The sequence below is a fragment of the Homo sapiens genome, chromosome 9 (genome assembly GCF_000001405.40).
Source record: "Homo sapiens chromosome 9, GRCh38.p14 Primary Assembly".
Lineage (NCBI taxonomy): Eukaryota > Metazoa > Chordata > Mammalia > Primates > Hominidae > Homo > Homo sapiens.
This window is the reverse complement of record NC_000009.12, coordinates 92913067-92925920: the sequence shown is the minus strand read 5'-3', so window position 1 is coordinate 92925920 and position 12854 is coordinate 92913067. Positions and strand designations below refer to the sequence as shown.

General features: G+C 48.7%; 1 pseudogene; it reads right to left on the bottom strand.

Annotated features, from left to right (window-relative positions):
• Positions 1 to 4066: 4066 nt before the first annotated feature.
• ALOX15P2 (arachidonate 15-lipoxygenase pseudogene 2) lies at positions 4067 to 12789 on the bottom strand (annotated as a pseudogene).

Sequence of the window (12854 nt, the reverse complement as noted above, 5' to 3'; positions counted from 1 at the left end):
CAGGTGGTTCAAGGAGGAAGGGTGCTCTATGGCATGGAGTGGTTAGAGTTTGAGAAGGCTCCTGGAGGTCAGGCCTGCTCTGGGCTTTAAAAAACTGATGTCAACACTTTTCCAGCCATGACCTCTCCAATGCACGATTCCCTTTAACCTCGGGCACAAGGACACACCTTTCTGTTTCCCTGAATATACTATCCACGAACAACCTACAGTATGACTTAAACAGCATTTACCAGTATCTGGCTTCAGCTATTCCCATCCCTGTTCCCATTCCCACCTCCAAGCCTCGCTGCTCACTTTGGGTTCCCCGCCAAGAATACCCTCCACGTATTTACACCAAACTCATCTTTTTTTTCTTTTTTTTTTTTTAGATGAAACCTCACTCTGTCGTCCAGACTGGAGTACAGTGGCAGGGTCTTGGCTCACTGCAACCTCTGCCTCCTGGGTTCAAGTGATTCTCCTGCCTCAGCCTCCTGAGTAGCTGGGATTACAGGAACATGCCACCATGCCCAGCTAATTTTTGTATTTTGAGTAGCTGGGACTATAGGTGCGTGCCACCATGCCCAGCTAATTTTTGTATTTTTAGTAGAGATGGGGTTTCGCCATATTGGCCAGGCTGGTCTCGAACTCCTGAACTTGTGATCTGCCGGCCTAGGCCTCCCAAAGTGCTGGGATTACAGGCGTGAGCCACCGCACCTGGCCCAAACTCATCTTTAAAGGACAGGGTAAGTATGGCTGAGAAATAGGTCACAGAGCAGAATCCAGGCAGCTGGGCTCACTCAGGCCTGCACCCCATTCCTCTGTCCATGGCAAAAGAGCAGGCAGTGATCCAGCAGTTCTGATGCATGGGAACAGGAAGGTAAAAATCCTACACTCTGTCATTCAGCCTTGGCTGGAAATTGTAACCAAAGACAGAGGTGCCCATTCCCAATAGGCAGATAAAGAGGAACCTTGGAAAGAATGCAAGGGCTTAACAAAAGGACTTTGAGAGAACTATGCACCGACCAGCAATTATGCTTTGCTAGATAAAAGTAAAATCTAAAGAATATTTGCAAACTTTTACCTTGAAAACACTGAGAATATAAACACTAACCAGGCTGGGATGAAGGCTCCTTCTTGAAATTGTGTACTGGAGGCTTGTTTGCAAGAATTTCCCTTAAGCGATTCTGACAAAAGTTTATTGTTATCTTCCATGTTCTACCACCCATCACCTTGAGGCTATGCTTCCTATGGTTTTCAATAACTTACTATAATTTCCATTTATTGGCTACCTATTTGTCATAAGAAAATATATTTGTTAGAATAAGTCTATTGTAAGAAATTGAGGCCGGGCACGGTGGCTTATGCCTGTAATCCCAGCACTTTGGGAGGCCGAGGCGGGTGGATCACCTGAGGTCAGGAATTCAAGACCAGCCTGGCCAACATGGTGAAACGCCGTCTCTACTAAAAATACAAAAATTAGCCAGGCGTAGTGGTGGGTGCCTGTAATCCCAGCTATTCAGGAGGCTGGGGCAGGGAGAATTGTTTGAACCTGGGAGGTGGAGGTTGCAGTGAGCCAATGTCGCACCACTGCACTCCAGCGTAGGTGACAGAGTGGGACTCTATCTCAAAGAGAAAAAAAAAAAGAAATTGAATGTACTCATCAAAAATCATGTAGCTCACTATCTGTCACCTGACTTTTTATTCTGGAACTTCACTGGAAGGGAAGGGCCATGGCTTCATGTGTTAGAGAACCTGAAGAGCATGTGTCTTAGTTTTCCCCGTGCAAGTCTGTCTGTAATAAACCTGAGGCTCTAAAAGATTTGTTTCCAGAAAACAATGAGAGTTGAAATTTTCTCTGTCAGGGACTGAGGAGAAAGTCTGTTGCAATGAATGTACTGAACAAGGAACCAGGAAAGAGGTTGTGGCCCCCAAGGAAAAGAGGGTGTGACCCCGAAGAGAGGTGCGTGGCCTGTAAAAAGGGTGTGGGCTCCAAGAAGAAGGAGGTGCCTCTGCGAGTTTGTCTTCCAGGACCCTAAACATGCTCTTACTTAAAACCTTTCCATGGCTGTTTCCCAAAGGTCAAGTCTAATCACCTGACATCATGAAACAAACTCTTCCCCGCTTTGCCACAAGACCTCTCGTAGGCCCTGCGCCCCACCGCATCACTCCCCAGGCTGGATTACTGTTTCGTTTCTGGTGTGGAGATCCTACCACACTCTCTTGCCTCTCTGCAGATTCTCCTAGATTCCAGTGTTAAACTCTGCCCCCACCTCTCTACTATTCATTTCCAATTCCTCCTTCAAGAATCAGACCAGACAGGCACAGTGGCTCATGCCTACAGTGCCAGCACTTTGGGATGCCAAGACAGGAGGATCGCTTGAGCCCAGGAGTTTGAGACCAGCCTGGGGAGACCCCATCTCTACAAACATTTAATTAAAAAAAATTAGCCAGGTATGATGGCATGTGCCTGTGGTTCTAGCTACTTGGGAGGCTGAGGTGAGAGGATCGCCTGAGCCTGGGAGGTTAAGGCTGCAGCGAGCCATGGTCATGCCTGTACCCCAGCCTGGGCAACAGAGCAAGACCTTGTCTCAAACAAACAAACAAACAAAATAATAAGACCAACATTCCTGCAATCCCAGCACTTTGGAAGGCCAAGGCAGGAGGATTGCTTGAGCCCAGGAGTTCCAGGCTGCCGTGAACTATGATTGGGCCACAGCACTCCAGCCGGGGTGACTAAGTGAGACTGTTTCTTTTTAGAAAAAAAAAAAAAGCAGACCAAGCATCACCAGTATGTCTTCTGTGGAATTAAATAGAATCAGAGGCAAGAAGCATCTTTATTGTATTATAAAGGGAACACTTTTGGTTTGTGTGTACTCTTAGTTTCTGTTTTAAAATACCCACAGATTATCATATTAAGAAATAAAACTTCCAAGTTTATTTTCCCAAAATCTTAATGAAATACAGAAGTTAGAGTTCATTGAATGCCTTGTTGTACTCATTTTGGTAATAATGAAATTTTTAGTCTTTTTCCACTTAATGTTATTAATTGGGAGCTTCCCAGCTGGTGAACTGCAGAGGGGTTAAGGTATGGATGCATGAGGCTGAAGTTCTGATGCCGAGTATCTCCAGCCAGGAGCAGCTTCTTCAGTTCAACCAGCTGACTTTCCTTCAGTATTTTCTAAGTGAGCCATTACATGAAAATCTTGAGTCAAAAATTCTTGGGACTCACTGTCTTAATGGTTTGCTTTGTAGTGTGTCTGGCTTCAGGACACAAGTTAGATCCTATATAGTTAGAAAGAGAATTTTTTTATTTGTATTTATTTATTTATGTATTTATTTATTTGAGACAGAGTCTCACTCTGTCACCCAGGCTGGAGTGCAGTGGTGTGATCTTGGTTTACTGCAAGCTCCGCCTCCTGGGTTCATGCCATTCTCCTGCCTCAGCCTCCCGAGTAGCTGAGACTACAGGTGCCTGCCACCATGCCCAGCTAACTTTTGGTATTTTTAGTAGAGACGGGGTTCCACCGTGTTAGCCAAGATGGTCTCGATCTCCTGATCTCGTGATCCACCCGCCTTGGCCTCCCAAAGTGCTGGGATTACAGGCGTGAGCCACCGCACCCAGCCAATTTTTTTTTAATTTTTAAAAACTTTTGTATTCTTTACCACATCAAGCATGTGAACCCAGATAAATGTTTTTGATGCTCTATATTCTTTTGCCAATATTTTATCTAAAATAATTCAGTTCTAGTTCTTTTCTATCATTAGTCTAAAATATCTTTTTGTTATTGTTAAACTGAATTTGGGTTCAAAATCATATTTCCAGCCCAGGCAACATAGTGAGACCTGTCTCTACAAAAAAAATATTAGCTGGGCATGGTGGCATGAGCCTGTAGTCCCAGCTACTCAGGAGGTTGAGGCTGAGGTGGGAGGATCACTTGAGCCCAGGAGGTTGAGGCTGTAGTGAGCTAAGGTGATGGCACCACTGCACTCCAGCCTGGACAACAGAGTGACACCCTGTCTCAAAAAAAATCACATATGATTCATAAAAGGTGTGGAATAATATGTATTATCTCCCTATTCGATCCTTGAAATGGTTTATATAATTGTGGCTGTTATTTGCCCTATAGATCTGAAGAAGGAGGAAGACAGGGAGGAAGGAATATATAGGAAAGGAGGGAGGGAGGAGGGAGGAATAAGGCCCCAGGTGCTGCCTCTAGAGTAAAATGTGTTCACTGGGTGCAGAGACCATGAAAAGGTGTCCCTTTAGGGAGGGTGGGACATGAGAAAAGTGTGGGGCTTGGGAGGGTAGGACTGAAACCACCTGGGGGTAGAACTGTGGCTTGGGTGGAGGGCGACTGAAATAACCAAAGGCTGGTGACACTCAGATAGCCACACTGTTTTCCACCAGGCTGGGCCGCAGGTATTCATAGGGCATGTCCCGTGTAGCATTCCAGATCTCAGTTCCTCATCCAGGGCAGCCAGCTCCTCCCTGAACTTCTTCAGCACAGCCTTAGGCCGAGGGCCCGAAAAATACTCCTTCTTATGCTGGCTCACAGCCACCTGGGATGGAGAGGAAAAAACAGCTGAGAGCCTTATGACCCCCAGTTTGGGGTGCCACATGTCCCCACAGCTGCCTCCTTCCTTAGGGCCCTGGGCACTTTGCTGTCACCATAATGGGCTGGTGTCTGCTCAGCTGCCAACTGATGGACATCTGGAGAGGACATCTGGAAAGTTGGGCAGTGTTGCCATCACTGTCTCCAGCGTTGCATCCTTGGTGGTTGGCAGCCACATCGTGCAGGGTGCATTAGGGACCCAAATGTACCAATCCAGCTAAGGAAAGTCAGGAATCTATAGTCAATGTCTGCTAAGCATGAAAACCCTGTGACCCACCTGCATACAGACTCCTCCGTCACCCAGGCCCCAAATTCCCAGCTGCCCATTTCTGGTAACTACCTGGTCCAGGTGGACGAAGGAGTGTCGGCCAGTGCAGGCAAAGATACATGTGGTGACAAAGTGGCAAATCTGGTCCTGAGACTGTAAAGAGACAGGAAACCCTTCAAGGGGTGAGGAGAGTTAGAAGCTGTGAGGCCAGGAGTAGAGCAGAGCTCAGAGGCCAAGGCCAAGAGAGGAGAACAAGAAGGGTGAGAAAGAGCAGAAGGAATGCTCAGTAACTCTTGTGGGAATTACCATGACAGCAGGCTTGGGTGGGGGAGTGGGGAGCTGACTGGGAGGGTCCCACTCAGTGGGGCACTGGTGCTGACTCATACTGGCTCACAAGAGTCAGTCAATGATGTTAAGGTTTTTAGTGAGCTGGCCAACATCACCTTGGTAGCCACAGTAGGAATATTTGTGCCATGGAAATGTGCAAATGTTACAAATTGGGACCTTTTTTTTCCCTGAGAGTCAGTTATTAAACATTTATGAGCAACCACTGGTTCCGCTGCATCTGGCATCTAAGGGGTTCTCAATGCATAGGATGGGGACCTGTCTCCAGCTGGGAGGGAATAGAATCTGAGAAGGCCTTTGGAGTTTTCATAGGTATTGGAAATGCTTCTGGAAGATTTCATAGAAGCACAGAGGATTCTGGGGAGGTCTCTTGCAGTTTTGTGTCTGAGATTTCAGGGCAGGAGCTCCTCTTACCTCGGTCCTGGGCAGCCGGATTTCAATGATCTCTCGACACCAGGTCTGCAGCTCTGGGTCACTGTTCACAGCCACGTCTGTCTTACAGTGGAGACTCACGATTCCTTCCACATACTGGCCAGCCAATGGGGCAGGGCCAGGGTGTTGAAGCCAGCTCTGCCCCTGTTCACATGGCCATGTCAGGGCCCCAGGCCCACAACCAGACACAGACCTCCTGCTCTCCTAGATTTCTTCTCCACCCCCACTGGCCTTCCCGCTTGCCTCACCGAGAGATGATTTCCCGGAGCTGCAGTGCATCTTGGCAAAGAAGGAAGACTTGACTCCCAGGAGGCCCTGGACAGCCAAGTCATCAGGGGAACAGAAGGAGCTATAGGTTAGAAAGGCTCCAGCTCGCTTGAGCAGCTCCACATGGCTTCCCCACCAGTGCTCACCACCTGAGAAGCAAGGATGGGCAGGGTCAGGCGAATTGACCAGCCCTGAGTCCAGAGTCAGAAAGAAGAGTGACCCAGAATCTCCCTTTCTCTCCCCATACCTGGTTGAAAACTTCCTGTTGGAGACCAGCCCAGTTCTGGCCCAGATGTTAATTTCCATGGTGTATTGCAGGTGGGGAATTATAAGCTAGAGGCAAAAAAAGCAGGGAAGGGCAAAGTCAGAAGACAGCTGCACAGGTCCCTGCAGGAAATAGGGGCTGACAAACAGGAAAGATACCAGGTCTTCAGAAAAATCACAGACTTAAAGTTCAGTGACCTCTCAACAGTGAGTTTTCAGAAGTACCATTTGACCCAGCAATCCCACTACTGGATATATACCCAAATGAATAGAAATTGTTCTACCATAAAGACACATGCATGTGTATGTTCATCACAGCACTATTCACAACAGCAAAGACATGGAATCAAATCTAAATGCCTATCTACAATAGACTGCGTAAAGAAAATGTGGTGCGTATACACCATGGAACACTATGCAGCCATAGAAAAGAACAAGCAATATGGATGGAGGTGGAGGCCATCATCCTAAATGGACTGACACAGGAACAGAAAGCCAAATATGGCATGTTCTCACTTATAAGTGGGAGCTAAACATTGAATACACATGGACATAAAGAAGGGAACAACAGACACTAGCATCTATCTGAAGGTGGAGGGTGGGAGGAGGGAAGGATCCCAAAACTACCTATCGGGTACCATGCTTATTACCTGCGTAACAAAATAATCTGTACACCAAACTCCTGTGACACATAATTTACTGATATAACAAACTGCACATGTACCCCGAACCTAAAAGTTAAAAATAAGTACATAAATATAAATAAAAATAAACGACCAAGTTTTCAGTTGATTTGCACTGACTAACGTGTTCCACAAACCACTGACTTAGTGCTTTATGATAATTGAAAGAAATCATTCTCCTTTGCTTTTCATATTTTTTTCCACAGGTCTAGACCAAAGTTTCTCAACTTTTTTTTCATTATCATTCTGTAAGTAGTCTTTTTTTTTTTTTTTTTAGATGGAGTCTCGCTGTTGTTGCCCAGGCTGGAGTGCAAAGGTACGATCTCAGCTCACTGCAACTTCCACCTCCTGGTTTCAAGTTATCCTCACCTTCTTCAGCCGCTGGTCTCCAACACAGAAGTTTTCGATGAGGTATGGGGAGAGTAAGGGAGATTCTGCGTCACTCTTCTTTCTGACTGTGGAGGCAGGGCAGGTTGATTTGCCTGACCTTACCCATCCTTCAAAGAACCAAAAGAAGCCGAGTTCATTCCCACCTCGATCCTGCACAAGCTGTTGCCTCTGCTTGGAACACTGTGCCCCTTTGATCATTTCAAGGTTAGCTTCTGACAGTCGCATTCTCGATGTCATCTCCTTCAAGGGAGCCTTTTCTGACCACCCAATCTAAACTTGCCATCACGTCACTCTGCTTTGATTCTCTGCATCGTACCTACCACAGCTGATATGTTACAATACAGTCTGTGTTGCCTGTTTGCCCTTGCTGGAAATGAAAGTCTCAAAAGATCAGGACTTTGACTATCTTGCTTACTGCTAGCGTCTAGAATGGTTCTTGTCACACAGGAGGCTCCCAATACATATTTTTAATAAGTAAATACTTCGCTCTAATGGTCTGTAATAAACCAGGTGACTGTTGTTTTCTGAGCCCCTCTAACTGGCCAGTATCACTATTTTAGAACTGATAAATGACTGGCTGGAAAAAAGTCTTTGTATATTATTTGCATAGTTTCTTCTTATTGGATGGAATCCTTGGTCATTTGCATGTACTGTTTATGTACTGTACCAATATCTGTGCTTTGCACATAAAAAGAGTAAGATTTTTTTCCCTACTTTCCCCAAGAATGATTTTACCCCTCCCCTCAAGAAAGGTGCTATGCACGGCCAGCCATGCTTGCACTCTTTTGCTCTCACATCTTCTATTCCTTGATTCTCTCCAAACTCTGAAACTCCACAGAGAGGGAGCCTCCAGAGGTGGGAATGTGGCCTGGGGCAGAGATAGAGGCCTGCAGGAGGGAAGGGAATAAGGTGTTACCTTGAAGACAGGATGTATTGAAAGCACCTCATGGTGGCCACAAAAGTGACCTCAGCCATCAAGTGTCCCCTCAGAGGATGAGGCTGCAGCTCACGGAGCTGGAAGTCAGAGCTATGGACCCAGCATTTGGCCAGAAGCCAGACCATTGCAGGATCCATGGGCAAGAAAAGGGGAAGTGGCTGGGATCCTACGTTGGAGCTGGAGCAGGAACAAGGTGTAGGGAGAGAAGGGGTGAGTGCCAGGTGCTCAGCAACCCCCCTCCCTTGCATGTTTAACCTCTCCCTTCATCCTCCAAATGTGTTTCACTTGCTCCATGTCACTGCTGCCACTCCCTACAGCTACCCCTCCCTTTCCTATCCACTTGGTGCATTAGCACCCTGCAAGCTGCTCTGCCTCCAACATTCTGTAGAAACTGCTCTTCTAGTGCCTTCTCCAGCCTCCACTTCCCCTTTCAGTCCCTGCAGTGTGGACAAGATTCAAACTGCCTGCTTCCTTCATCCCACACTCCTTTTTCAAAATCTCATCTTTCAGCCCCATCTTTACCCAAATGACTAAATCTCTAGTTCTCAGTTGCCTGCCAGACAATTTAAATGTCTTCCGGTAATCTCAACATTGGCCAGGCGGAAGCCTATGTGAGCACCCTGTCCTCTTTATTCATGCTATTTCTGCAGGCACCTGGCCTGGCTTCCCTTTCCTTCCTCCTTGATCTCCTTCTAACCTCACATCCATCTGTCCTCTTCATCCTGATGGTCACTACCCACATCTGAGCCCACCTCCTCCTGGGGCAAGTGCTGGAGCATGTCACCCTAATACCTGTTTCTAGCATCTCCCCTCTCCAACCCATCCTAAACACAACCGCCTATACAGTGTGCCCACAGCATATTTCTGTCTTTTTTTTTTTTTCTGAGATGTAGTTTTTGTTCTGTTGCCCAGGCTGGAGTGCAGTAGCACAATCTTGGCTCACTGCAACCTCCACCTCCCAGGTTCTCCTGCCTCAGCCTTCCGAGTAGCTGGAATTACAGGCATGTGCCACCACACCTGGCTAATTTTGTATTTTTGGTAGAGACGGGGTTTCACCATGTTGACCAGGCTGGACTTGAACTCCTGACCTCAGGTGATCCATCCGCCTCGGCCTCCCAAAGTCCACAGCACATTTCATCACAGCCTTCTCCAGCTTCCCACATCACACTCCTTAGCCTGGCGTAGTCTGGCCCCCAGTCCAACTGTCCCCTAGGAATCTCCTGACTCCTCTGCCTCAGCCTCTCTGCCCAGACCGTCTTGCCCCTGAGGACAGGTCCTTTCCTTCCCTCCTGCTTGTCTGAGCCCTGGCCCTCCTTCAAGGCTCATGATACCCCACCTCCCCTGATCCCTCCTGGGCTGTCCTGTCCTCAGGGACTTCCTCAGTACCAGAGCTTCTTCAGACTGGCCCAGTCTGTCTCTCCAGCTATACTTCAAGGTGTTCGAATCACAGACTTTGCCCATTTCCTCCTTTAAGATGCAGATAGTGGGTGCCCAGTGAATTTCGATAAGGGCTGAGCTGAGAAGGCTGGATACTGGGAGCAGAAATCTCAAGTCCTCTCACCTGGATGACCATGGGCAAGAGTTTCCCAACAGACTGCAGCTTCAGCATGACTAGAGGGGCAGCCAGATGCTGCTGGCTACACAGAATGATGTTGGCCTTGATCCCATCTAGCAAGGAGAAGTCAGCTTCAAACAGTGTGCTCCCCTGGATGGGAGAAGAGGTAAAGGGCTGCTATCAGCATAAGGCATCTTCTTTCTTACTCTGATTCTTCCAGGGGAGAAGAGAGAGAAGGGAACTAACTTGTCTCCATCACCGACTTTGTACCAAGTAGGGAATCATGTGATTATTGAGATATATATATACATATATATATATCTTACTCTATATACTGAGATATATATATATATATCTATATCTTACTCTATATACTGAGATATGTATATATATATATATCTTACTCTATTGCCCAGGCTGGAGTGCAGCAGCAGGATCACCATGGCTCACTGCAGCCTTGACTTCCTTGGGCCCAGATGATCTTCGCACCTCAGCCTAGCTGGGACTATAGGTGTATGCCACCACACCAAAACTTACAGACACTAATTTTTGCATTTTTTATGGAAATAGGGTTCCACCGTGTTGACCAGGCTGGTCTTGAACTCCTGGCCTCAGGCGATCATCTCACCTCAGCCTCCCAAAGTGCTGGGATTACAGGCATGAGCCACTGTGCCTGGGCTTATAATTCTTATACATAGTTGAATGAGCCTCAGTTTCACAGAGGAGGAAACAGATAATCGGAGAGGTTGGGTATTTTGCCTGAGGTCACAGAGCTTACAAATAGCAGAACCAGGGTTCACATCCAAGCCTATCTGCCCTGTAATCCCATGCACTTCCTGTCTGTTGTTCTATATTGACTCCTGATTAACAGCCACAGCACTCTGACCTTGATTCCCTTACTCTGCACACTCCCTGAATCCCTAGCATCAAGGCCCAGTCATGTTTCTTCATTTGACCCTGTCCTATCAACCATTCCACCTTGCACACCCTCCCTCCACAGCATGTGGGGAGGAGGCTGTGCAGCTGAGCTTCTCCAGGATCCCCCAGGACTTCTGCAGAATCCCTCCTTGTTGACTGGCAGCAAGCCAGGCCCACAGTGGGTCCCGCAGCAGTACCGGTGAGGCTAGCCCAACTCATTTCACTGTTGGGCCTCCCTGGGGCTCTGATGTCCATACCTCCAGCTCCTTCTCCAGCTGGGCCTGCAGTTCCTCCATCCCTGGAGGGAACACGAGGTGGGTAGGAAGGTGAATGGAGAGCCTCAGCCCCATGGGGTTGGCACCATTAAGAAACTGGTACCCAAATAAGGCATCCTCCTTTCAGAAGTCCCACACATTCTCTGGGGAAGGCAGTTGTTGAGCAAGTTGTGGGATCTGAGTTCTTGGTCCTTCCAACCCCCACCAACCATGCCCACTTGACTCTAGCCCACCAGAGGGACCCAAGTCTCTGGTCTCCCCACCCTGGTTCTTTCAATTCCCCTGGATTGGGTGGGAGCTGGAGTAAGAGTCCTGGGAGGAGTATTGGGGTAGGGGGTCTGATCAGCTAGCTTGCCCTGGCCACACTAGAAAATCCGGTTGAAGTCATCCAGATTGTTCCAACAAGTCAGAACATTTAGAGTCTTTGATAGCGAGGTCGGCCAGGCTTCAAGGAAGGTTGGGGCAAAGGGTTTGAGCATATTTTGAGACTCCAACATTACAACCACAGGCACCTATCTTGGGCTGATCCAGCACAGTGCAGCCTATAAGCCCCTTGGCTTCCACTAGACCAGAGCACCCCCCTCCCACCCAGCCTCCCCTTGCTGTCACCCATTGGCCAGCAAAGCCTCAAAGTCAACTCTCTTGTCTTCCAGAAATCGCTCATGCACAGGAGATCACATAGTTTGGCCCCAGCCACATTCAGAATTAACCCATCCTTCCAGTTTCCCCACCAGTGGGGAAGAATGAAATCAGACACGGGTGCTGGAAGCAGCAGTTCACATGGGGTCTGGGGAGTAGGGGGTCACCGGTACAGCTTCCTTCTCTCTTCCAGCTCCTCTTCCCTGTGTTTCTTTCTTTATTTTCTTTTCTTTTCTTTTTTTTTTTTTGAGATGGAGTCTTGCTCAGTCGCCCAGGCTAGGGTGCAGTGGCACGATCTCGGCTCACTGCAAGCTCTGCCTCCTGGGTTCACACCATTCTCCTGCCTCAGCCTCCCAAGTAGCTGGGACTACAGGTGCCCGCCACCGCACCCGGCTAATTTTTTTGTATTTTTAGTAGAGACGGGGTTTCACTGTGTTAGCCAAGATGGTCTCGATCTCCTGACCTTTTGATCCGCTCGTCTGGGCCTCCCAAAGTGCTGGGATTACAGTTGTGAGCCACCGCGCCCGGCCTTCCCTGTGTTTCTTGAACAGGCCTTGAGAGTCCTCGGCCACAGTGCAGCCTAGAGTAGAGTGCAGTAGAGAGGAGGGATTGGGCAATGGCTTTTTCTGAGAGCCTCTTCTCGTCCCTGCCAAGAGAGCTTCATCACCCTGTCCTTCTGTGTGGCCCCTGCCCCTTCGGCACCACGCCCCACCCCCAGCCTCCACGCCACTCTGTGCCAGCTCCCGCAACCGCTTCTTCAACAACCTCCAAAGACCCCTGCGCTCCAGGTTCCAGCACCCCCATCCTCCACATCCGCATGCACCCCAGCTTCTCTTGCACTCCAGACGCCTCTTCACACTTTCACGCTTTCAGCCCCGCTCTCACCAGTGCCTTCCGGTACGCTCAGGACGCCGTTGCCCTCCACCCAGAGGTAACAAGGGAACTTCACTTCCTCACCGGATCCGGGGCCCTGCACGGAGATCCAGTTGCAGAACCAGGAGGCGTCCAGAAGGAGATGCCGTTTGCGCAGTTTCCCAAACAGCAGCGGCCCCAGGTGCTCCGGTACTTGAACCTTGAATTCTACTTCCCGCGGGAGACAGAGGAGGCTCAGCCACCGTGGGGCCACAGCTGCACCTAGTTGTTGGAGCTGGCACAGGGTGAGGCCCCGGTGGACACCCGGACGCAGTAGAGACCAATCTTGCTCAAAGACGTTTCGCTCCTTCTGGTGGGGAAGAAGGGTGGACGAGCTAACTCGCTGAGCCTGAGACCCTGCCCTCTCAGAATTCGCT